At 39.7% G+C, this 25,244-nt stretch overlaps 1 long non-coding RNA gene across 1 annotated transcript in view, besides 2 other annotated features; it reads left to right on the forward strand.

Moving 5' to 3' along the window:
* Positions 1 to 5,196, forward strand: part of HAND2-AS1 (HAND2 antisense RNA 1) — a 62,656-nt gene extending 57,460 nt beyond the window's left edge. The window contains exon 5 of the long non-coding RNA NR_136196.1: positions 5,014 to 5,196. This is a non-coding gene — a long non-coding RNA (HAND2 antisense RNA 1). The remainder of the gene's footprint in view (positions 1 to 5,013) is intronic.
* Positions 22,257 to 22,834: an enhancer, noted in NCBI's record as "OCT4-NANOG-H3K27ac-H3K4me1 hESC enhancer chr4:174529467-174530044 (GRCh37/hg19 assembly coordinates)". NCBI's record gives its function as "activates a minimal SCP1, AML or CMV promoter by ChIP-STARR-seq in naive H9 embryonic stem cells {active_cell/tissue: H9 hESC(naive)}" and the evidence as "EXISTENCE:reporter gene assay evidence [ECO:0000049][PMID:30033119]".
* Positions 22,588 to 22,777: a silencer, noted in NCBI's record as "fragment chr4:174529798-174529987 (GRCh37/hg19 assembly coordinates)". NCBI's record gives its function as "represses an EF-1alpha promoter that drives an FKBP-Casp9 reporter gene in an ReSE screen in K562 erythroleukemia cells {active_cell/tissue: K562}" and the evidence as "EXISTENCE:reporter gene assay evidence [ECO:0000049][PMID:32094911]".

Consider the following 25,244-nt stretch of genomic DNA (forward strand, 5'->3'; position numbering starts at 1 on the left):
AATTCCTCCCTGTCAGCACATCCCTAGTCCACTTTCATAGTTTGGATAAGGACTGGATAAGCAGCTGAACTTCTGGGGACTTTTCCAAATGAAATTCAACCTTTAGACCTTTGGAGGTTTACCCAGTCTTCCTCACTACCCGAAGATGAGTTTGGAACAAATTTTCTCTTAATGGATTCTATTTGTGGGTAGGAGAGGTAATGACTGCCTTGCTCAGAGTCATGAGCATAACTTCAAATAAGGAAAAAGAGCCTCGCAGGAATGTGAGAATAGATGCGATCCTGAGGAAGGTGTGTCTGAGGAGGTGCTGGGAGGTTCTGATCGGCTGTTGAAGGCAGATACTGTATCTCACGTGACAGAAGTCACCTCCTGACATCAGAGTTGTGTTTGAGTGGTAATTTAAAAAATAATATAGCTGACAAGGAAATGTGGAAGGCATTACGTTGCAATACAGTGAAATGAACATACAACATTCAAGATCAATTACCGGGTACTGATTAGCTGGGAGAAAGGCAATAAAACTTTAAAAATAGAATTGGTAGAAATAGCACCCTGTCAAGGTGGGACTGACTATGCCTCCTGCTGGTTTGTTGCGAGGAATTCTTTTTTTGGGAAAATCCTGTTGAATTGTGTGGCTTGTGAATCTGGCTCTAGAACTGTTAATGTTATAAGAATTGAAAGAGGACTATTTAAAAATACCAAGACATCTTTTAAAATTCCTATTTTTAGAACAGCTACTTGTCATTAAAATAAATCATTCCATTTCTATTTGTCCAGGTTACTGCTTTCACAGCAGGGCCAGGGCTATGGTGAAGTGTGGGAGGTGCCCAGTCCCCTTCACTGCAGTCATGGCTCTGTTTCATGCCACATGTGTTATTTTATAAGTGGTTAAGCCCCACATAGGCATGCAAACATGGTACATCTCTATGTATTGGTTTTGGTAATGTTGTAAATAATTGGGAGAATACATTAAAATTTGGTAATAGTGCTCCTTTGGACTCAGTCTCTTTTTTTTTTTTTAAGACAGAGTTTCGCTCTTGTTGCCCAGGCTGGAGTGCAATGGCATGATCTTGGCTCATTGCAACCTCTGCCTCCTGGGTTCAAGCAAGTCTCCTGCCTCAGCCTTCCTGAGTAGCTAGGATTACAGGCATGTGCCACTATGCCCGGCTAATTTTGTATTTTTAGTAGAAAAGGGGTTTCTCCATGTTGGTCAGGCTGGTCTTGAATTCCCGACCTCAGGTGATTCCAGTTCTAATTCCCCAACAGAGTTGTCTTGGTTGCAGTGAGATATATATATATATATATATATATATATATATATATATATATATATATATATATTTTGAGATGGGGTCTCGCTCTGTCGCCCAGTCTGGAGAGCAGTGGCGCGATCTTGGCTTGCAGTGAGACATTTTTATCCATCCTGATCACAGCACTTGCCTCCGGGCTCATGAAGCCCAGCATGTTACTGCTGTTCTGAACGTCTCTGCTTTTTGAGAGACATGTTTAATGAATTGGGAGTATCTGTGCACATTGCATTCACTTAAAAAGGGAAAAATACCTTTTAACAGTTATAGCTACAGAAATTCAATTTAGTTTATTTAGGAGGAAATGAGAGACTTGAATTGTAGGTGTGAAATCTTACAATCTTTCAGAATGATTTGGTTTGGGGGATGGTTGGAACTGCATGGAATTCCTTCAGCCAAAATAATTTTTGTGAGCACATTCCCAAGCTCACGATCATGTTTTGATAAGAAAAATCCCTTTCTCCACAAGTTCTCAGGTCCCACTCATTGGCCCCTGCCCTCATTTCTGGAACCTATGTTAGGCAGTTATGTGGCTCAGTTCTTGGTGATATGTTTTCAATTTGAGTCAACTTGATGAGAGAAAAATTACTAAAAAGTGGGAATGAGCTGTGAGGTGAACAGGGTTTTCCTATCAAAGTGGAGGTATTTTTAAAAGCATTTATTATTTCAAACTCAAACATTTATAGAAAGCCATGAGTGTGAAGTGTATGATTACCAGTTGTGGCTTGCTGCATTGAAAAATTCAAGTTCATAGGAAATATTTACTGAGGCTCTGGTTTGCAAGCAGTTTGTTCAAGAGAACAATTTGGTCCAGAAGGCATGTCAGCCAAAAAAGAGTTTACTAATATAGTAGTAACAGGCAATTAGGATTCATAAGCATCGCCATGGCTGAGACATGATTTAAGGTCTTAGATGGAAAGAGTTCTGTTATTAAGATAACAGAATTTAAATGCTGTATCTGTCTAGGTCTTATGCATGTCAGAAGTGAGAAAACTACTTCTTCATTTTCCATTTTTATGAGCTCTGATGTAACACAGTTTTTTTTTTTTTCTGTGTTGAAAATGATGAATATAGTTCTTGGCACATTTGTTCCATAGTAAAGAAGAATTTAACTTGCAAGTGAAAAACCTCTGCCTTTGGCCATGGATTAAAAAGATGTTATATGATGAAGTTTACTTCCTAAGGAAAGGTTAGTTTTGTGTGGCACTTTCTGAAAATTTGTTTGGGACATATACAATTCTTTTGTATAAATTCTGGAGGTCTGAGGAAAATTACTTAATCACATTAGATGAGAACATTTCTTTTTGTGTGAATTGAGTTCTTATCAAGGTTCTGATGTTTTTTCTCATGTATTTGCCCTTGGGTTCATCTCAATACAATGCATTTGTGTACTATTGAATAAAAAGCAGGCTGCAACAGTATTTATGACATATGATCCTATATACACGTAAAATCTTGTGTGTGTGTTTGTGTGTGCACATGCATATAAAAAAAACTACATTGTTAAAGTTGTTAATAGTTAACTCCCGGTGGTGGGTTTTAAGTGATTATTATTTTCTTTGTATAAGAAAAATAGTGCACAGTTTTCTTTTGTTGTTACGAAAGGTGTCATACATTTGAAAGAGGACATATGCACAGTTTAAATAATAATAACATAGTGAATACCCACTGCTTGGCTGAAAAAAATAATTTATTACTCTGTTGCAGAAGGCAAGCCTTCCTTCTGCCCCTGCCTCTGTCATGGAGGTAGCTACTTGCTTGAATTTTGTGCTAATCATGTCTTTGCTTTCTTATATAGTTTAGCCAGCTGTGAATGTCTCCATAAAACATACACAGTTTTATTTTGATTGTTTTTGAACTTTAAATAAATGAAATCATACTGGATATATTCTTCTGTGACTTTTCCTTTTTTTTTGCTTCTTATTTTTTGGTCATTCATCCGTGTCAATGTGTGTATCTGATTTTTTTTCTTTGAATGTGAAAAATATTTCAATCACACAGATCAATCAAGTTACAGTCATTTTGAAAAAGGAAAACCTCATACGTACATTTAAAAATATGTGCTGAAACAGTGCTGAAATAACCAGGCTTTTGTGAGTGAAAATTTTTTTAATCCATTCATATATGTCCACATGTTGATGGTATAACAGCTGCCTTCAGAATATTATTTTTAGGGATCACTGGCTGCACCCATAACACAGAAATGCCTCCTTTTCCTGCCCCTGCCATTAAGCCACTGTGTCTGAAATTCAACCATTAGCTATTTTTCCCTGAGGATTTTAGGAACTGTCTTCCAAAAGAGAAATTGTGTCATGCGGCGATTCAACATGAGCTAGTTTAGCCAGTGATCAGCTTTATTACCTTGACAGAGAAAGAGCAGGTCTTAAGGAGCAGAGGAAGGGGGTGGGGGTAGCTTTAGACCTTGAAATGTTTAGAGGGCGAGCTTCAGTGTGGCACTGAAATGAGGACTCAGAATAAACAAGGTATGGAATCAGTCTTAGGGTTCATCCGCATACACAGTGGAATACTATGCAGCCATACCATGTTGCTGTCATTTGCAGCAACATGGATGAATATGGAGGCCCTTAAGTTAGGTGAAATAAACCAGGCACGGAAAGACACATACTGCGTGATCCCACTGATATGTGAAATCCAAAAAGTTGAAACCACAGAGGCAGAGAGTTGAAATGGTGGTTGCCAGGGGCCTGTGAGGGTGGGGAGAAACAGTGTTGTTGATCAAAAGAGACAATATTTCAGTTAGTCAGAAAGAATAAATTCAAGAGATCTATTTACCGGGCGGTGACCGCAGGTAATAATAATGTATGGTGTATTTGAAAATTGCTGAGAGTTTTTCAGTGTTTTCACCATAGATAAATATGTGAAATAACATGTATATTAATTAGCTTGATTGAGCCATTTCACAACATATACATATTTCAAAACATGGAATTGAACACCATAAATATATAGAACTTTTATTTGTGTATTCAAAAGAGTTTGGGAATCGTAAAGGAAAGCAAAGATGCAGTGAAGAGGCAACATCCAGGTGTATGCGATGCAGAGAAAGGAGTTGGGAATGCAACACTTTAGCCACTTGATGACCGTGCCCATATGCAGTGACAAGCACTTCTTGAGTACCTAGTGTATCAGGTTTTGTGCTAGGCATTCACAATTGAAAATATAAGAAGTAAGGCAGTCCTTTCTTTTAAAGAACTCATGGCCTAGCGGAGGAATAAGATACACCAGCAATCTTTGCTCCAGGTCCCAGATGATTACTGAGTGGGCACAAAAGAAGAATGGACTGGTAGTAGGGGAGACTTCAAAAAGGAGTGATGCTTGAAGGATGCGTCTGGTGGGCATAGAAGGGGAGGTCATTCCCATCAGAGAGAAGGCCATTTACAGAGGTACAGGGGTATGAGATTATGGAGTCCAGTGACTTGCTGACACATGTGACTGGAGTGGTGGGGCCATCCTGCACCGCCAAAGTGATGGCTCTGCAGCCTGACCTTGTCACTCGCCCATTTGAAATCATGCCATACCTCTCCTGCACAGCACATATTATTACACTTGGCCTCGGTCCCACCTCTCCTACTGTGCTTCTCAAATTAGTTTCCTTAAATGGTTCTCTGCATCACAACTTTCTTATTTATAAAAATAGAGAATGACATCAGAGCACCTAAACTCAGCTTTCTGTTTTTTTCCACAGAGATCCTGGCAAATGGGTGTTTCTTCCCAGAAAGGGATTTTTCTCCATGACTGCAGTTGAATTGCAGAGTTGTAGAGACATCCAGGTTCTTGTTAGTGTGGACGAACTATCCATGAAGATCTTAAATGCAGGAGTCTATGAGAACACCAATTAATCAATTGTCAAATATTTGAGTATCTATTGTGAGCAAGGCACTGTATAACCATTATGTCATGTATTAATCTATTGGAAAATAATTTGACCTTGGTTGTATAGTATTTTGTTTATTTTTACCTTAAATTTTGTAACTCTATTATAAGTGTTTACATACCAACTATTTGAGGGCTGTATGCAAGGTATAGTTTTATTGTACTTTGCTTCTTCTGTTACAATAAAGTACAAGTACAGTAAAATAATCATATCTGGCTGGTGGTGGTGGCTCATGCTTGTAATCTCAGCACTTTGGGAGGCCGAGGTGGGTGGATCACCTGAGGTTAGGAGTTCCAGACCAGCCTGGCCAACATGGTGAAACCCGGTCTCTACTAAAAATACAAAAAATTAGCTGGGCATGGTGGTGCGCCCCTGTAATCTCAGCTACTTGGGAGTCTGAGGTGGGAGACTTGCTTGAACCCAGGAGGTGGAGGCTGCAGTGAGCTGAGACCCTGCCACTGCACTCCAGCCTGGGCCACAGAACAATACCCCGTCTCAAAAAAAAAAAAATCACATCTTACCAATATAAGCTAACACATCATCATTTTAAAGAATATTAGAATCATAAATAAGAAAGCTTGAAAATGTTAAGAATCAAATAAGCCCATTATCTAGAAATAAATAGAACTTGCTGTGTAATTCAATTAAATTTGATAGAGCAAATAATTACTGGCACCTGTAGTAGGCACTGTGGAGTACGCCAAGCTTTCCATGAGACGCTCCCTCTACCCTCTGTACTTGTTAGTGTATTGCGAACCTATGTTCTCTGTACTGAAGAAACAGAGAATGGAGAATTTCCCATCCTTCTCTCTAGTCTCAATTTCCAAAGGCAACCTTCCTATAATTTCACTCTCTTGCATAGGAAATTCATACAAAGTCCATCAGCCCTGTAATTAGTCTAGAGCAAGCGGTGAAAAAGTAGGGATGAGAACAGGCAGATTTAGCAACTCATGTTGAAGTATCCACCTTACTCCAGAAACTGGTAGTGACTATAATGGATCTTTTCCTCTGCTACTCTTTTACTTTCATGCCCAGACTTAACGTTATCAGTCTAGAATTTCTGATACTCCAGAGGAAACCCGTATGAGATACTGCATGTGGCTCTCTGACCTCATTCTCCCTGCCCAAACTTCTGAGATCCCACCCCAAGGAAAGGCTGCTGAATTGCAGCAAGATTATACTCAAAACCATGTCCTGTTTCTTTCCAGGTCTTTTGTAGGATGTATTCATTCTGGGGAATAAATAGAAATAGGAAAATCTCCACTACTACCACCTTAGTCCAAGCCATTACACCATTACATGTCTCACCTGGTTATTGCAACACACACACACACACACACACACACACACACACACACACACACATATGTTTAGAGACAGAGTCTTGCTGTGTTGCCAAGGCTGGAGTGCAGTGGTGCAATCACAGCTTACTGTAACCTTGAACTCCCATGCTCAAACTATCCTTCTGCCTCAGCCTCCAAGTAGGTAGAACTACAGGTGTGCCTCACCATGCCTGGTTAATCATTTTTTAGCTTTTTAGATAGAGGTGGGGTCTTGCTATGTTGCCCAGGCTAGTCTTGAACTCCTGGCCTCAAATGATCCTTCCACCTCAGCCCTCCAAAATGCTAGGATTACAGATGTGAGCCCCTGCATCAGGAATGGCTATTGCAATATTCTTCTAACTGGTTAACCTGTTTCTGTTCTAGACATTCCAACACATCAGGCATGCTGTCACCTCAGGCCATTTGTACTTGCTCTTCCCTCTGTCTGGACCACATTTCACTCTATTTTGGGCTCTATCCTGCAGTGTCTCTGTACTGAAATGTCAACATCCTCAGTGAGGATTTATCTGGGCTACTTTATATGAAATTGTAACTCCCAGGCCTTATGTTTCCTAATCCCATTCCAAATTTTATTTTTCACTAAGTTATTTATTGTCATCGAATGTATTGCATATTTAAAATTTTTACTCTGTCTATTCTCTGTCTCTCACTACATGATGTAAGGTTTGTGAAATATTTTTGTCTGTTTTCTCACCATTGTGTTCCCGGTGCCTGAATGGTACTGCCACATAGTGTCACAAGGTATAGTTTTTATTGTACTTTGCTTCTTCTGCTTCAATAAAGTACAAATACAGTGCAAGAATTCTGTCTTACCATTACAAGCTAATGTATCATCATCATATATTTGATGACAAATATATGACAAACTATATATATATATAAATTCATATATTTACTGCTTCAACAAACATACATATACATATATTTGTCGAAAGAATAAATAAATAAATAAATGTATAAAAGAAGGGACTTACTCCTACCTTATACATATTTTTTAGAATACTCTAGTTCCAGTCCAAAACTTGGTTAGAACAACACTTAGTTTTCACTTGAGCAAAGAGAACCAATTCCACATTTGCACCTGGTGTTTTCTTTGTTACAGATCACAACATTCAGTGTTTGAATTTTGTCTTTTCTAGCTTAAGAGAAGAATGTTGAGGGCAAGTTTAGTAATTTCTGACTTTTCTCACATTTTTGAAAGAGGCACTTGCATTAGAAAGTAAAAAATCTTTACGCTTTCCAGAAATAATCCCTTTGAGGAAACATCTCAGAAATAACGTTTAAACGTATCTTTGTGTAATGTGCATATACTAAGAAAAAATACCTCTTTAAGTAGATTAGGGCTGCTTTTAATAATTGAAGTGTGTGATCACATTTCAAACTCAGTTCTTCATCTTGATCTTCAGATATTTAACAGAATATTTGGGTCAGATGGTCAACAACTGCACATATTTCTTTTTTCTTCTTTGACTTAAGTGAAGGGAGTAACAAGAGAGTTTTCTCTGCAGGAGAAAGAGTTGGGGGTGGGGTGGGGAGTCAACAAATATGTCCCACCACCTGTTTCTATAAAGTTTTATTGGAACATATCCATGCCCATTTCGTAACTTGTTGACTGTGCATACAGCCTATGCTCACTTTCATGCTAAAACAGCTGAATTGAGTAGTTGCAACAGAGATATGACTTTCAAAGCCTAACATAATTGCTGCCTGGTCCTGTATAAAAACAATTGTGGATCCCTGACATTTGACTATAACCAATACTAGTTGGGAAGGCCAGTGGAAAGGCATGTGGCCACATGGAGGAGGCTAAAATAAAAGTGTTTGATAAATAATCCAGAGGATGGCTACTTAGTTCTTAATTAATTTGTAGTTACATATTTTCTCGATTTGTACAATTGCTGAGATCTGTTACATTATTTGTAAATAAAACTATCCTCGTTGACATATTATAATTCAGAACTGTTTCATTTTAGTTTCGGATTCATTTCCAAGTAACAGTGACTTCTGCCACTAATTTGCAATTATTTTACAGCTTTTTAGATCAAGTGCTACTCCATAAGCAATACTGCATTTTATAACACAAATTACACACTGATTTACCTGTTTTAAATGTGTATCTTTTAATATATGATTAAAATTTTTTGCAAGTGAGCCCTGTTACAGTGATTAGTTTGGATAAAATCATGTATCTTTAAATACATTTAAAAAAATTTATTTATTTATTTTTTATTTTTATTTTTATTTTTTTTGAGACAGAGTCTCGCTCTGTCGCCCAGGCTGGAGTGCAGTGGCGCGACCTTGGCTCACTGCAAGCTCCGCCTCACGGGTTCACGCCATTCTCCTGCCTCATCCTCCTGTAGCTGGGACTACAGGCGCCCGCCACCATGCCCAGCTAATTTTTTGTATTTTTAGTAGAGACAGGGTTTCACCATGTTAGCCAGGACGGTCTCGATCTCCTGATCTCGTGATCTGCCCGCCTCGGCCTCCCAAAGTGCTGGGATTACAGGCGTGAGCCACCGGGCCCGGCCAAAAATATATATTTAAAAATATAAAAATGTATAAAACTATGTCACAATGAGAAAGTTGGGTAGCAATAATGCTACAGTTTGGCGGTCCCCAACATTTCGGGCACCACGGATGGTGGGGGGCAATGATTTCGGGATGAAACTGCTCCATCTAGTAAGAGTGAGCAACCTGATCCTTTGCATGTGCAGTTCACAATAGGGTTCGTGCTACTATGAAAATCTAAAGCCACTGCTGACCTGACAGGAGGTGGAGCTCAGGCAGTAATGCTCCCTTGACCAGCGCTCACCTCCTGCTGTGCAGCCCAGTTCCTAAAAGGCCATGGACCAGTACCAGATGGAGGCCTGGGGTTTGAGGACCTCTGCTATAGTTAATTTGGTTACTGCATCAGCTTCTATAGAAACAACTTGCTTCTTAGATTTTCTTAAAATACAGAGAGTATCTATAGATTTAATGTTATGTCATATTTTTGGAACATCAAGATAAACTATATTGAAATGCCTATTGAGATGTGTGATAAGTAATCAAAATTAAGTACTATTCAACATCTGAGAAGCTTTCAGAATGTGTTACCTGAATTTGATAATCTCTAGGAAGGCTATACTGAGAATATTTGTCATTTCAGTATAACACAAAGTGTCAAATGAAGGCTTTGGATATATTTATTGGAAGATACAGGGATATGTGACATTTTTTAATATTAAATGCAACTCTACTGATCTGAAAAATTTAGATGTCTCTGTAAACATACTGCAAACAGATCTACTTCAGCACTTTAGAAAACAGAGTAGACCTCTGCCCACAGAACAGGCTTGAATGGAAACCATCAAGTCACAAATAGAGAATGCATCTGGTACTTCATTGTTGCAGTAAAATCTATCATTAAATCAAAATGTAAAATTTGAATTTACAGAATCATATATGTGCCAGCTATTGTTCTATGTGCTATCCTGGTGTTATCTCATTTGTTCTTCATAACAACCTTTCTATCCTGATGAGGAAACTCAGGCTTAGAGAGGCCAAGTAATTTCCGAAGAACACGGAGAAAGGAAGTGATAGAGTCAAGTTTTGATTCATTAGACAATTCGTTTGCTCCTAAAGTCCAGCTCTTAACCTCTGCAGCGTACTGCTACTCTAGATAATAGTAATCTTAGCTTATGGAAAATGGGGTGCGGGGAATACTTAAATGAATCCTTTCTTTTCATCTGTTTTCATGTTTTGCACAATCTTAAAACAGTGCTAAAAACAATGTTGTCTCCTATTCTCATTATGTCTTGCACTTTTCAACCCTGCCTCCCTTACTTTTGCATCTCTCATGTACTTAGTTGCATTTTACAGAAGATCCCTACAAGTAAAAGTAAAAACTATTTTTTCAAGGCATTACAGTAATCCTTTTCTTATTTATCTTTTTCCTTGATTTCTTAAATATAATATAAATCTTACCTATTATTCACGATTTGAAATGTGTTTTCTTATTAAAGAAAAGCCAAACAGGCTGGGCGCGGCAGCGCACGCCTGTAATCCCAGAACTTCGGGAGGCTGAGGCAGGCGGATCACCTGAGGTCAGGAGTTCGAGACCAGCCTGGCCAACATGTGAAACGTCATCTCTACTAAAAATACAAAAATTAGCTGGGCGTGGTTGTGCACGCCTGTAATCCCAGCTATTTGGGAACTTGAGACAGGAGAATCGCTTGAACCCTGGACGCGGAGGTTACAGTGAGCTGAGATGGTGATTGCATTGCCACTGCACTCCAGCCTGGGGGACAGAGCGAGACTCGATTTCAAACAAAAAAAAAAAAAAAGAAAGAAAAACACAGAAATTCCAGTGTTGTTTCAGACAGCTGTATTATGTTGAGATGACTTAGATCTGGAAGGTGTTCATTCTACTGGAAATTTCTGGCAATAAATATTTTATCTTGATTTATGGTGTGGAAATAATTATTGTTATTTTACAGATTTCATATACTTCAATTGGAAGAACAACTTTTGGAAAGCATCTTTCGATTGTCTGATTGTCCAGGCACCGGTCACTGCCCTGAATGATTTCAATTTAATTGAACCATGTGGTACTTGTGTCAATAATTTTACATAATGCTTGTAAAGAGACTTGGGGGTGAAAAGTGCAATGTAGCAGAAACACACGTTGCTGATATAATGCCATCAGCCTAAATATGTCAAGGTGATATACAAGCACATTATTTGTACACTTTTATGTAGAGCCAATCAGTATAGTGTTTAGACACAATCTGGATAGCACCCTTCCCCTCCATGATCACGAGAATCCTTGTGACTCTTTGGAAAAAAACCTAAGTTGTTTTACTCTGACTTCCTTTCTCCATCTCCCAGCTCCTGGACTGTTGCCTGAGCAGAAAGTCATTACGCAGCATGTAGAGGTTGAAGAGTGTAGCCACATTGTCTGCTAAATGCACATCTGGCTGGAATTTTTAGTTCTACCCTTAGGATTGAGAAAACGAGGTGAGATTTTGGGTAAACAGTTGATAGATTCATCAAAACTTAATTATGTAAATGATCAATGATCTACTATTGACTAATTAATACTCTCTTCATTCCAGAAAAGGTATTTTACATATCCATATGTAAAATAAGTTAAAAGGTATGCATGAATAGAAAGTCAGGGCCAGCGCAAATGTAATGTGAGGGTCGAATCTAGGGAGAATTAGAACTATTCAGACCAATGGGAGTAAAGCTGAGTTCAGTTGGCTCTAAACTTCCTGGTGACTGAGGTGGAATGGGAAACATGATTGGTGAAGCCTAAATTTAATTCATTGAAAATAAACTACGCAAAGATTTCAGTGCATTATGTTGATCACTAAGACTCAAAATGGGTGTTACGGATTGAATGTTTGTGTTCTTCCAAATTCATATGTTGAAATCCTAACCCCTAATATGATGGTATTAGAAGGTGGAGACTGTGGCAGTAGTTAGGTCATGAGAGTGGAGCCTTCAGGAATGGGATTAGTGCCCTTAATCAAAGGGACCCCAGAGAGCTCTCGCTCTTTTCGGAAGCTGACTGTGCTGGCACCCTGATCTTCTAGTCTCCAGAACTGTGAGAAATACGTTTCTGTTATGTATTTATTTATTTATTTGAGACAGAGTCTCGCTCTGTCACTCAGGCTGGACTGCAGTGGCATGATCTCGGCTCACTGCAATCTCCTGGGTTCAAGTGAGTCTCATGCCTCAGCCTCCCGAGTGGCTGGGATTACAGACATGTGCCACCATGCCCGGCTAATATTTGTATTTTTGTAGAGACAGAGTTTCACCATGTTGGCCAGGCTGGTCTGGAACTCCTGGTCTCAAGAGATCCACCCACCTTGGCCTCCCAAAGTGCTGGGATTACAGGCTTGAGCCACCTCGCCTGGCCTCCATTGTTTATAAACCACCCAGTTTATGTCACTTTTTGTAGCAGCCTGAACCAGCTAGGACAATGGGTTAGGGCTTTTGTAAGTCCCACCTCGATGTGTCAGTAATTTTTAGGGAAGTGAATGGATTTATTCTGTCCTGCCACAGGTAACATAACTAAATGTATTATTTCTCTACCTTAAAAGGCACTGGAAAGAAAAAAAAATTCTTTTTACAATGTAGGTCATTTAAATATGGAGTATAATTAATTCACTTGGCAAATCTGGCCGGTCATATTCTTAGTTCAATTATAAGGACCAAATCCAGTGATGTTATTTAAAACTACCTGGAGATATAGTATCTTTCTTTGCATTTGCCCCAGTATATTCCTGTTTCTAGGCTTTTATTTAGTCTGTGACCTTTGTCTTAAATATGCCTGTTAGGAACTGTGAAGGGTCTGATATATTACCTTACTTGCTAGCTAACAAGTTAGCCTGCCATGGTTTCATGACCCCAAGCAATAGCAGTAGCTGGTGTATTAGCATTTATGTCACTGCCCCAAGCTCCAGTTCCAACAGTGTGACCACCCAACAGGGTGACATAAAGTGGGCCAGGTGACACCTGTACACCCCGTGGGTTGCATTGCCGGAGAGGAACTCTGAGCTTACGGAAACTAAGTGTTTTATAATGGGCAGTTAGCATGTCTGCTCCATTGCCCCAGAGAGAGATATTCTTTCTACCTTCCAAGGTGGTTAGCTATACAAACATCCCTGAAAAGATAGTTTGGAACAGTGACAGTTCACTCCTCTGCTTGCAAGAAATTTAGAAATGCCCAGTTTGATTGCTCATCAGAAATAAAAAAGAAAGGAAAAAGAAAAAAAAAGTAATGTAAAAATGTAAGACACCTATGGAGAACTGTCTCCTAACAATACCCTCACTACTTTTATCTACTGAAATGCTATTCATTCCGGAAAATCAACACTTTAAGAACCACCTCCTTTCAGCCTTCTTGGTGCCTATGTTTTAGAGAAACCTTCTCTCTCATTGACTTTTCATTGTATTATAGCCTATACCAATATTTTATATTAATCATCTAATTTACACCTCCCTGTGTCTTATGGTTTCACGTATTATATTTTCAAGGAGGATCTAAGATCTGTGAGGGCAGAAACCACTTTTAGAGCTATTTTGCATCCACTACAATACTCAATACTGTAGATGGTATGTAGAGAATATATATGAGGATGTGAGAAAAGGCAACATTTGGAAAAGTTGTCCATGGCAACAAAATGAAAAATTTGTATTTTGTATCCACAGTAATATTCAATACTGTAGATGCTATATAGAGAATATATATGAGGGTATGAGAAAAGGCAACAATTGGAAAGGTTATCCATGGTAACAAAATGAAAACTGGCCATAGTTTCCTATTTGTCATGCTATAGCGACCAAAAAATGGAATTCCCAGACTAAGAATCTGAAGGTCTATGACTTCATAGTTATAGCATGACAGGATTCCACAGCTAACTCCTGGCTTGACTTTACTGGAGTTTAATCTCAGTGTGTTGGTGACTTGTGTTGATTTATCTCTGATTAAATATAGGGGAGGGAAGGGACTCTCATGAGGCAAGGCTGACTCTTTTCTTATCCAGAAGCTTCTTGGACAAATGGGATCATGCAAATGTGTGGAAGAAAAGTCTCAACAAGGTGGAGGATGAAATTCTGGGACACTATCATACATGTAGATATGAATTCATCCAGCAACAAATCCATATTTACAGGAAAAGAACTATCTGCACTGTGCCAGCCATGCAAGTCTGACTCTGACATGAGAGAATGAGACCAGCATGTGGCTTTGAAGTATCTTGGCAATCCTCACAAATATTTTTTTCCTTCCATTTTTCTTAAAAAAGAAAGAGGCCGGGCGCGGTGGCTCACGCCTGTAATCCCAGCACGTTGGGAGGCCGAGGCGGGCGGATCACGAGGTCAGGAGATCGAGACCATCCTGGCTAACACGGTGAAACCCCGTCTGTACTAAAAATACAAAAAATTAGCCGGGCGCAGTGGCGGGCGCCTGTAGTCCCAGCTACTCGGGAGGCTGAGGCAGGAGAATGGCGTGAACCCAGGAGGCGGAGCTTGCAGTGAGCCGAGATCGCGCCACTGCACTCCAGCCTGGGCGACAGAGCGAGACTCCGGCTCAAAAAAAAAAAAAAAAAAAAAAAAAAAAGAATAAAATATGTTTAAAAATGGAAATGGAAGGCTCCTCTATAAAACATTAATTTATAGTTAGATGTGTGAGTGGCATTATGGCCAAGAGGAAAGTATAGGCTTTGGAATGTGTTAAAATCTGGACTGTACCACTTATCCAGTATGTGTGTCAGGTTAAATTGTGTGGGCTTGCTGAGTTATCAGTAAATGTGGAAAATGAAACCCACTTCTTGAGATATTTGAGAATTAAATGGGATAATGTATATCACATACCCATTGCAGGGTCTGGCACCAAAATGATAACATCTATTATTATTAAGCAATTGACTCATAAGGACGATTGATGGCTGGAAGACTGAAGAAGAATTAAAAAGATCTCTTACAGGCATCCCAAGTAGGAAATAGATGTTGATGTAGGTTTTAACTATAAGCAAGGGTACCCACCAGGCTTCAGAAATGGAGGAAAAAAAGATGACTGCTTTCTAGATGGTTGTCCTAGTTAGTGATGGATTAAATCAAACCTTTTAGCCTTCAGAACCAAGGAGAAAAAAAAAAAAGAAACAACTTTGTAAACATCAATCTTTGTATATTTTTCATGCTGAAAGTAGACAATTTACATAATTCCTTCTGATATAAGGCTTTGCCTGAGTTTCAGGTTGGCTTTTCATATTTTTTGCATGCTTTTTAGGTCTCCCCATTTTTAATATAAAATAAAATTATAATGTAGGGAGTGATGATTTCTTTGTCAAACTGAAATAAGTTAATTGGTAATTTTCCAAGATAGTCTAAAGGGGGTAAGTTATATTTATGTGATCTAAATCCATTGGTTAAATGCAGAGGGATTAACATCTGTTAAAAGAGTTGTGCTTGGCATGCAGGTGTTTCAATATTTGCATTTAGTATGTGTTTCAGAAACAGCCTCTGAGAAAAACATTTATATAACAATCTGGTGTTTTATTGTCTAAATCTGTCGGGACAGTCATTTTGTTACTCAGACTTTGTGACCCTCTTGCAAGCCGTAAACTATTTAACGAAGTGAGTATATTGAGAAAGATGACAGACTTCCAAACTTTGGGGAAAGAGTATTATATGAGAAGAATCAGCTTTTCCTCCTGAGACTGTGCCTAATATGTGAACAGCAAAAACAATTACACTGGTGATTTCAGGAAGTCCAATAAATTCCATAGCACAGTCTCACTTTTGAAATATTACATCACTCAGCAAAAGCTTATGTTCGTATATTAAGCTGAAATGGACTAATCATTAATTAATTACCATGAGTTCAGTTTTGTGAATGGAGTGCGGAGGTAGGGCTCTGGTTTCAGTCCACTCAGAGCTGCAGGGTTTAACTACGGCTGCAGTTTAAGTCTCACAGTGCCCATATGTGGAGGGCAAGTTGATCTCCTTATTTCAGCCGTCTTCACGATCACCTCTCATTGTGGTGATTGACTTAACCATTTTGTAATCCACACTGTTAAAATAACTTGTGCTCTGGTCCGTTTGTTTTGTAGGTACAGTGGGGAAAATAAATGTAGTGCATCTCCAGAGATTTGTGGCTTGAAATTAGAAAGAAAATAGACAAATCAAGTGGTTTCACACATTGCCAGATTATACCTCAAGAAAATTAAAACTGGATAAAAGCTGAATTATAAGTGAGCTCTGCTTTATAAATAAACCACACATGGCTATGATAGCGCATGATGGCTCACTTTGGCGTCATTACTTTTAAAATGTTTAAATGTACTCAGGGTGCATGAATTCCAGTCAGAAACACTGTCTTGTGTGTAAATAACAATTAACTTTTAATGTTAATGTCTGCTGTGTGGCTTGTTCTCACACAATTATGTTGTTTTTGACTCTAGATGGTTCCCAAATCAAGTTCAGGACACTTTGGGCATTCACCGAGGAAGTTTCAGTGGATGCAGATTTCAGATATTTTCTGGCTTTAGGGAATTGTCTCCCCAAAACCACTGGGTGGGGCAGGGATGTGTATGTGAGGTCATGTTTAGACTTTTGCCTGATAGCTTCTGGAGTGGTTTGCACTTCTCCAGGGCTAGAACAGCCATCTACAGTTATATTTACTGAATACAAACACTGTCCCAAATTTTGTGGCCAGTCTCATGAACTCTACCTTATCTCTATCTCTCCTTCAGGTGGTTTCCAGAATTTTGATAAAATAAGCAGAAATATCTCCAGGAATTTGTGGGGAGGAGAACCTAGTTGATGGTCAGCTTTCAATTTTGCCAATTATAGACATGAAAGAAACTACTTTTATCACTTAATAAATGGCAGTACCTTTTAATACCAGTATTAAGACAGTTATAATCAATGAACGAAAAACAGCGCTTTAAATGGAGTCAATTTAACTTTTCTTTTATTATTATACTTAAAGTTTTAGGGTACATGTGCACAATGTGCAGGTTAGTTACATATGTACACTTGTGCCATGCTGGTGTGCTGCACCCATTAACTCATCATTTAGCATTAGGTATATCTCCTAATGCTATCCCTCCCCCCTTCCCCCACCCCACAACAGTCTCCAGAGTGTGATGTTCCCCTTCCTGTGTCCATGTGTTCTCATTGTTCAATTCCCATCTATGAGTGAGAACATGCGGTGCTTGGTTTTTTGTCCTTGAGATAGTTTGCAGAGAATGATGATTTCCAATTTCATCCATGTCCCTACGAAGGACATGAACTCATCATTTTTTATGGCTGCATAGTATTCCATGGTGTATATGTGCCACATTTTCTTAATCCAGTCTATCGTTGTTGGACATTTGGGTTGGTTCCAAGTCTTTGCTATTGTGAATAGTGCCGCAATAAACATACATGTGCATGTGTCTTTATAGCAGCATGATTTATAATCCTTTGGGTATACACCCAGTAATGGGATGGCTGGGTCAAATGGTATTTCTAGTTCTAGATCCCTGAGGAATCGCCACACTGACTTCCACAATGGTTGAACTAGTTTACAGTCCCACCAACAGTGTAAAAGTGTTCCTATTTCTCCACATCCTCTCCAGCACTTGTTGTTTCCTGACTTTTTAATGATCGCCATTCTAACTGGTGTGAGATGGTATCTCACTGTGGTTTTGATTTGCATTTCTCTGATGGCCAGTGATGATGAGCATTTTTTCATGTGTCTTTGGCTGCATAAATGTCTTCTTTTGAGAAGTGTCTGTTCATATCCTTTGTCCACTTTTTGATGGGGTTGTTTTTTTCTTGTAAATTTGTTTGAGTTCATTGTAGATTCTGGATATTAGCCCTTTGTCAGATGAGTAGGTTGCGAAAATTATCTCCCATTTTGTAGGTTGCCTGTTCACTCTGATGGTAGTTTCTTTTGCTGTGCAGAAGCTCTTTAGTTTAATTAGATCCCATTTGTCAATTTTGGCTTTTGTTGCCATCGCTTTTGGTGTTTTAGACATGAAGTCCTTGCCCGTGCCTATGTCCTGAATGGTAATGCCTAGGTTTTCTGCTAGGGTGTTTATGGTTTTAGGTCTAACGTTTAAGTCTTTAATCCATCTTGAATTGATTTTTGTATAAGGTGTAAGGAAGGGATCAAGTTTCAGCTTTCTGCATATGGCTAGCCGGTTTTCCCAGCACCATTTATTAAATAGGGAATCCTTTCCCCATTTCTTGTTTTTCTCAGGTTTGTCAAAGATCAGATAGTTGTAGATATGCGGCGTTATTTCTGAGGGCTCTGTTCTGCTCCATTGATCTAGATCTCTGTTTTGGTACCAGTACCATGCTGTTTCGGTTACTGTAGCCTTGTAGTAGAGTTTGAAGTCAGGTATCATGATGCCTCCAGCTTTGTTCTTTTGGCTTAGGATTGACTTGGCGATGTGGGCTCTTTTTTGGTTCCATATGAACTTTAAAGTAGTTTTTTCTAATTCTGTGAAGAAAGTCATTGGTAGCTTGATGGGGATGGCATTGAATCTATAAATTACCTTGGGCAGTATGGCCATTTTCACGATATTGATTCTTCCTACCCATGAGCATGGAATGTTCTTCCATTTGTTTGTATCCTCTTTTATTTCATTGAGCAGTGGTTTGTAGTTCTCCTTGAAGAGTTCCTTCACATCCCTTGTAAGCTGGATTCCTAAGTATTTTATTCTCTTTGAAGCAATTGTGAATGGGAGTTCACTCATGATTTGGCTCTCTGTTTGTCTGTTATTGGTGTATAAGAATGCTTTTGATTTTTGTACATTGATTTTGTATCCTGATACTTTGCTGAAGTTGCTTATCAGCTTAAGGAGATTTTGGGCTGAGACAATGGGGGTTTTCTAGTTATACAATCATGTCGTCTGCAAACAGGGACAATTTGACTTCCTCTTTTCCTAATTGAATACCCTTTATTTCCTTCTCCTGCCTAATTGACCTGGCCAGAACTTCCAACACTATGTTGAATAGGAGTGGTGAGAGAGGGCATCCCTGTCTTGTGCCCGTTTTCAAAGGGAATGCTTCCAGTTTTTGCCCATTCAGTATGATATTGGCTGTGGGTTTGTCATAGATAGCTCTTATTATTTTGAGATACGTCCCATCAATATCTAATTTATTGAGAGTTTTTAGCATGAAGCATTGTTGAATTTTGTCAAAGGCCTTTTCTGCATGTATTGAGATAATCATGTGGTTTTTGTCTTTGGTTCTGTTTATATGCTGGATTACATTTATTGATTTGCGTATATTGAACCGGCCTTGCATCCCAGGGATGAAGCCCACTTGATGATGGTGGATAAGCTTTTTGATGTGCTGCTGGATTCGGTTTGCCAGTATTTTATTGAGGATTTTTGCATCAATGTTCATCAAGGATATTGGTCTAAAATTCTCTTTTTTGGTTGTGTCTCTGCCCGGCTTTGGTATCAGGATGATGCTGGCCTCATAAAATGAGTTAGGGAGGATTCTCTCTTTTTCTATTGATTGGAGTAATTTCAGAAGGAATGGTATCAGTTCCTCCTTGTACCTCTGGCAGAATTCGGCTGTGAATCCATCTGGTCCTGGACTCTTTTTGGTTGGTAAGCTATTGATTATTGCCACAATTTCAGAGCCTGTTATTGGTCTATTCAGAGATTCAACTTCTTCCTGGTTTAGTCTTGGGAGAGTGTATGTGTCGAGGAATTTATCCATTTCTTCTAGATTTTCTAGTTTATTTGCATAGAGGTGTTTGTAGTATTCTCTGATGGTAGTTTGTATTTCTGTGGGATCAGTGGTGATAACCCCTTTATCATCTTTTATTGCGTCTATTTGATTCTTCTTTTTTTCTTTATTAGTCTTGCTAGCGGTCTATCAATTTTGTTGATCCTTTTAAAAAATCAGCTCCTGGATTCATTAATTTTTTGAAGGGTTTTTTGTGTCTCTATTTCCTTCAGTTCTGCTCTGATTTTAGTTATTTCTTGCCTTCTGCTAGCTTTTGAATGTGTTTGCTCTTGCTTTTCTAGTTCTTTTAATTGTGATGTTAGGGTGTCAATTTTGGATCTTTCCTGCTTTCTCTTGTGGGCATTTAGTGCTATAAATTTCCCTCTACACACTGCTTTGAATGCGTCCCAGAGATTCTGGTATGTTGTGTCTCTGTTCTCATTGGTTTCAAAGAATATCTTTATTTCTGCCTTCATTTCGTTATGTACCCAGTAGTCACTCAGGAGCACGTTGTTCAGTTTCCATGTAGTTGAGCAGTTTTGAGTGAGTTTCTTAATCCTGAGTTCTAGTTTGATTGCACTGTGGTCTGAGAGACAGTTTGTTATAATTTCTGTTCTTTTACATTTGCTGAGGATAGCTTTACTTCCAGCTATGTGGTCAATTTTGGAATAGGTGTGGTGCGGTGCTGAAAAAAATGTATATTCTGTTGATTTGGGGTGGAGAGTTCTGTAGATGTCTATTAGGTCTGCTTGGTGCAGAGCTGAGTTCAATTCCTGGGTATCCTTGTTAACTTTCCGTCTCGTTGATCTGTCTAATGTTGACAGTGAGGTGTTAAAGTCTCCCATTATTATTGTGTGGGAGTCTAAGTCTCTTTATAGGTCCCTCAGGACTTGCTTTATGAATCTGGGTGCTCCTGTATTGGGTGCATATATATTTAGGATAGTTAGCTCTTCTTGTTGAATTGATCCCTTTACCATTATGTAATGGCCTTCTTTGTCTCTTTTGATCTTTGTTGGTTTAAAGTCTGTTTTATCAGAGACTAGGATTACAACCCCTGCCTTTTTTTGTTTTCCATTTGCTTGGTAGATCTTCCTCCATCTGTTTATTTTGAGCTTATGTGTGTCTCTGCACGTGAGATGGGTTTCCTGAATCCAGCACACTGATGGGTCTTGACTCTTCATCCAATTTGCCAGTCTGTGTCTTCTAATTGGAGCATTTAGTCCATTTACATTTGGAGTTAATATTGTTATGTGTGAATTTGATCCTGTCATTATGATGTTAGCTGGTTATTTTGCTTGTTAGTTGATGCAGTTTCTTCCTAGCCTCGATGGTCTTTACATTTTGGCATGATTTTGCAGCAGCTGGTACCGGTTGTGCCTTTCCATGTTTAGTGCTTCCTTCAGGAGCTCTTTTAGGGCAGGCCTGGTAGTGACAAAATCTCTCAGCATTTGCTTGTCAGTAAAGTATTTTATTTCTCCTTCACTTATGAAGCTTAGTTTGGCTGGATATGAAATTCTGGGTTGAAAATTCTTTTCTTTAAGAATGTTGAATATTGGCCCCCACTCTCTTCTGGCTTGTAGAGTTTCTGCAGAGAGATCAGTTGTTAGTCTGATGGGCTTCCCTTTGTGGGTAATCCGACCTTTCTCTCTGGCTGCCCTTAACATTTTTTCCCTCATTTCAACTTTGGTGAATCTGACAATTATGTGTCTTGGAGTTGCTCTTCTCGAGGAGTATCTTTGTGGCATTCTCTGTATTTCCTGAATCTGAATGTTGGCTTGCCTTGCTAGATTGGGGAAGTTCTCCTGGATAATATCCTGCAGAGTGTTTTCCAACTTGGTTCCATTCTCCCCGTCACTTTCAGGTACATCAATCAGACACAGATTTGGTCTTTTCACATAGTCCCATATTTCTTGGAGGCTTTGTTCGTTTCTTTTTATTCTTTTTTCTCTAAACTTCCCTTCTCACTTCATTTCATTCATTTGATCTTCCATCACTGATACCCTTTCTTCCAGTTGATTGCATCGGCTCCTGAGGCTTCTGCATTCTTCATGTAGTTCTCGAGCCTTGGCTTTCAGCTCCATCAGCTCCCTTAAGCACTTCTCTGTATTGGTTATTCTAGTTATACATTCGTCTAAATTTTTTTCAAAGTTTTCTACTTCTTTGCCTTTGGTTTGAATTTCCTCCTGTAGCTCGGAGTAGTTTGATCGTCTGAAGCCTTCTTCTCTCAACTCGTCAAAGTCATTCTCCGTCCAGCTTTGTTCCGTTGCTGGTGAGGAGCTCTGTTCCTTTGGAGGAGGAGAGGCGCTCTGCTTTTTAGAGTTTCCAGTTTTTCTGCTCTATTTTTTCCCCATCTTTGTGGTTTTATCTACTTTTGGTCTTTGATGATGGTGATGTACAGATGGGTTTTTGGTGTGGATGTCCTTTCTGTTTGTTAGTTTTCCTTCTAACAGACAGGACCCTCAGCTGCAGGTCTGTTGGAGTTTGCTAGAGGTCCACTCCAGACCCTGTTTTCCTGGGTATCAGCAGGGGTGTCTGTACAACCGCGGATTTTCATGATCCACGAATGCTGCTGTCTGATCTTTCCTCTAGAAGTTTTGTCTCAGAGGAGTACCCGGCCGTGTGAGGTGTCAGTCTGCCCCTACTGGGGGGTGCCTCCCAGTTAGGCTGCTCGGGGTCAGTGGTCAGGGACCCACTTGAGGAGGCAGTCTGCCCGTTCTCAGATCTCCAGCTGCGTGCTGGGAGAACCACTGCTTTCCTCAAAGCTGTCAGACAGGGACGTTTAAGTCTGCAGAGGTTACTGCTGTCTTTTTGTTTGTCTGTGCCCTGCCCCCAGAGGTGGAGCCTACAGAGGCAAGCAGGCTTCCTTGAGCTGTGGTGGGCTCCACCCAGTTCGAGCTTCCCCGCTGCTTTGTTTACCTAAGCGAGCCTGGGCAATGGCGGCCGCCCCTCCCCCAGCCTCATTACTGCCTTGCAGTTTGATCTCAGACTGCTGTGCTAGCAATCAGCGAGACTCCCTGGGCGTAGGACCCTCCGAGCCAGGTGTGGGAAATAATCTCCTGGTGCACCGTTTCCTAAGCCCGTCGGAAAAGCGCAGTATTTGGGTGGGAGTGGCCCGATTTTCCAGGTGCCCTCCTTTCCTTGACCAGGAAAGGGAACTCCCTGACCCCTTACGCTTCCCAAGTGAGGCAATGCCTCGCCCTGCTTCGGCTGGCGCACGGTGCCCTGCACCCACTGTCTGGCACTCCCTAGTGAGATGAACCCGGTACCTCAGATGGAAATGCAGAAATCACCCATCTTCTGCGTGGCTCATGCTGGGAGCTGTAGACCAGAGCTGTTCCTATTCAGCCATCTTGGCTCCCGGATCCAGTTTAACTTTTGCAGAGGTAATTTCGTGGTCTCTTTTTCTTATTTGAATGACAATTTTGCCATGGGTTGACATCTAGCAAGAGAATGTTGAGAATCATTGAAAAACTTCAAGTACCTTTGAATTGGAATCAGGAGACCTGGGTTGGGGGTCAGACACCATTCCATGTTAGCTATGGGATTCTTTCTGAGCTTTCTTTGTAAAATGGAGATGGTAACCCTTGCCTGGATTTTCTCACAAGGCTATTGTGAAATGCATATTGTGGAATGATGTATGCAAAAGTGTTTTTTAAACCAGAAAGCACAAGCAAAATTAGGTAGTTTTCTTGTAAATTTATAGAAGATTATCATGAGGTAATAGAATCCTATGGCTGGGCATAGCCTTAGAAATTCATCTGAAAAACCACCTCACCGTGTTTCTGCTGTTTGACCTTTCCATTTTTCTTTAAGAAAGATTTCTCTTCTATTACCCAGTACCTTCAGCCAAAGGAACTGGACCATTTTTATTCAAATGCCACCCTGAATATTCATGTGTATTTCTGTTGCTGAATTATCTACCTGCTCCTTTCCATCTGAAATGTAAACTCTTGGGATGTTGCTCCCCAGTAAATGTTATCTCAGTTTTGACAGGAGGCTGTATTCCTGGTTCCTGGGGATTGACTGTCATAGTATTCCTGGTCCCTGTCAGTTAGGGAAGGGACTGGTTGTGGAATTCATGAATGAAATTGTTTTCTAAAAAATATATAGTCTGTCATATTCCTGGGCTACATCAGGGAAAACAAAAACCAAAAACTTCCCTTCGGAGTCACTTGTGAGCTATTGGATACTTGCTTGCAAGGTATCATTTGTCCTATACACCCTTAAGTACCCAAGTTAGGAAGTCACTATCTGTGGGCTTTGGACCTCTCCACTTTCAGTGGCAGCATGTGCCACCTTTGGTCTCTGAGGGGTAAAAGATTTTTTAAAAAATCGAGCTAATTTTAAACATTAGACCTTTCCCTGTAAGATCTACCTATTAATACTGGTTCCTTGAAGAAAGAAATGCTATTTTTTTTCTTTGTGATGGCTTTGAGAAAGGCAAAAAATTTAATTCCTGAGATTTTATTTTATTTTGTTGAAGCCAAACATCTATAATCCCTTTAACCATTTCACATATGGAAAAATTCCGAGTCCCCCAAATTCCTAGTCATCCTGTCCTGCTTCTCCCAACTCTCAGTTGGGTGCCTTTGCTTGTGATATGAATTGAAAATATTTTAGCTCAATTTATCTTTTGCCTTTTCACTTTGTTTATAATAGTATGGTGGTTTGCTGCACCAACAACCATCATCTACATTAGGTATTTCTCTTAATGCTATCCCTCCTCTTGCCCCCCACCCCCTGACAGGCCCTGGTGTGTGATGTTCCCCTCCCTGTATCCATGTGTTCTCATTGTTCAACTCCCGCTTATGAGTGAGAACATGCGGTCTTTAGTTTTCTGTTTCTGTGTTAGTTTGCTGAGAATGATGGTTTCCAGCTTCATCCATGTCCCTGCAAAGGACTTGAACTCATCCTTTTTATGGCTGCATAGTATTCCATGGTGTATACGTGCCACATTTTCTTTATCCAGTCCATCATTGATGGACATTTGGGTTGGTTCCAAGTCTTTGCTATTGTGAACAGTGCTGCAATAAACATACATGTGCATGAGTCTTTATAGTAGCATGATTTATAATCCTTTGGGTATATACCCAATAATGTGATTTCTGGGTCAAATGGTATTTGTGGTTCTAGATCCTTGAGGAATCGCCACACTGTCTTCCACTATGGTGGAACTAATTTACAGTCCCACCAACAGTGTAAAAGTGTTCCTATTTCTCTGCATCCTCTCCAGCATCTGTTGTTTCCTGACTTTTTAATGATTGTATTCTAACTGGCATAAGATGGTATCTCATTGTGGTTTTGATTTGCATTTCTCTAATGACCAGTGATGATGAACTTTTTTTCATATATTTGTTGGCCGCATAAATGTCTTCTTTTGAGAAGTGTCTGTTCATATCCTTTGTCCACTTTTTGATGGGGTTGTTTTTTTCCTGTAAATTTGTTTAAGTTCTTTGTAGATTCTGGATATTAGCC

Source organism: Homo sapiens, chromosome 4, assembly GCF_000001405.40.
Source record: "Homo sapiens chromosome 4, GRCh38.p14 Primary Assembly".
NCBI classification, from domain to species: domain Eukaryota; kingdom Metazoa; phylum Chordata; class Mammalia; order Primates; family Hominidae; genus Homo; species Homo sapiens.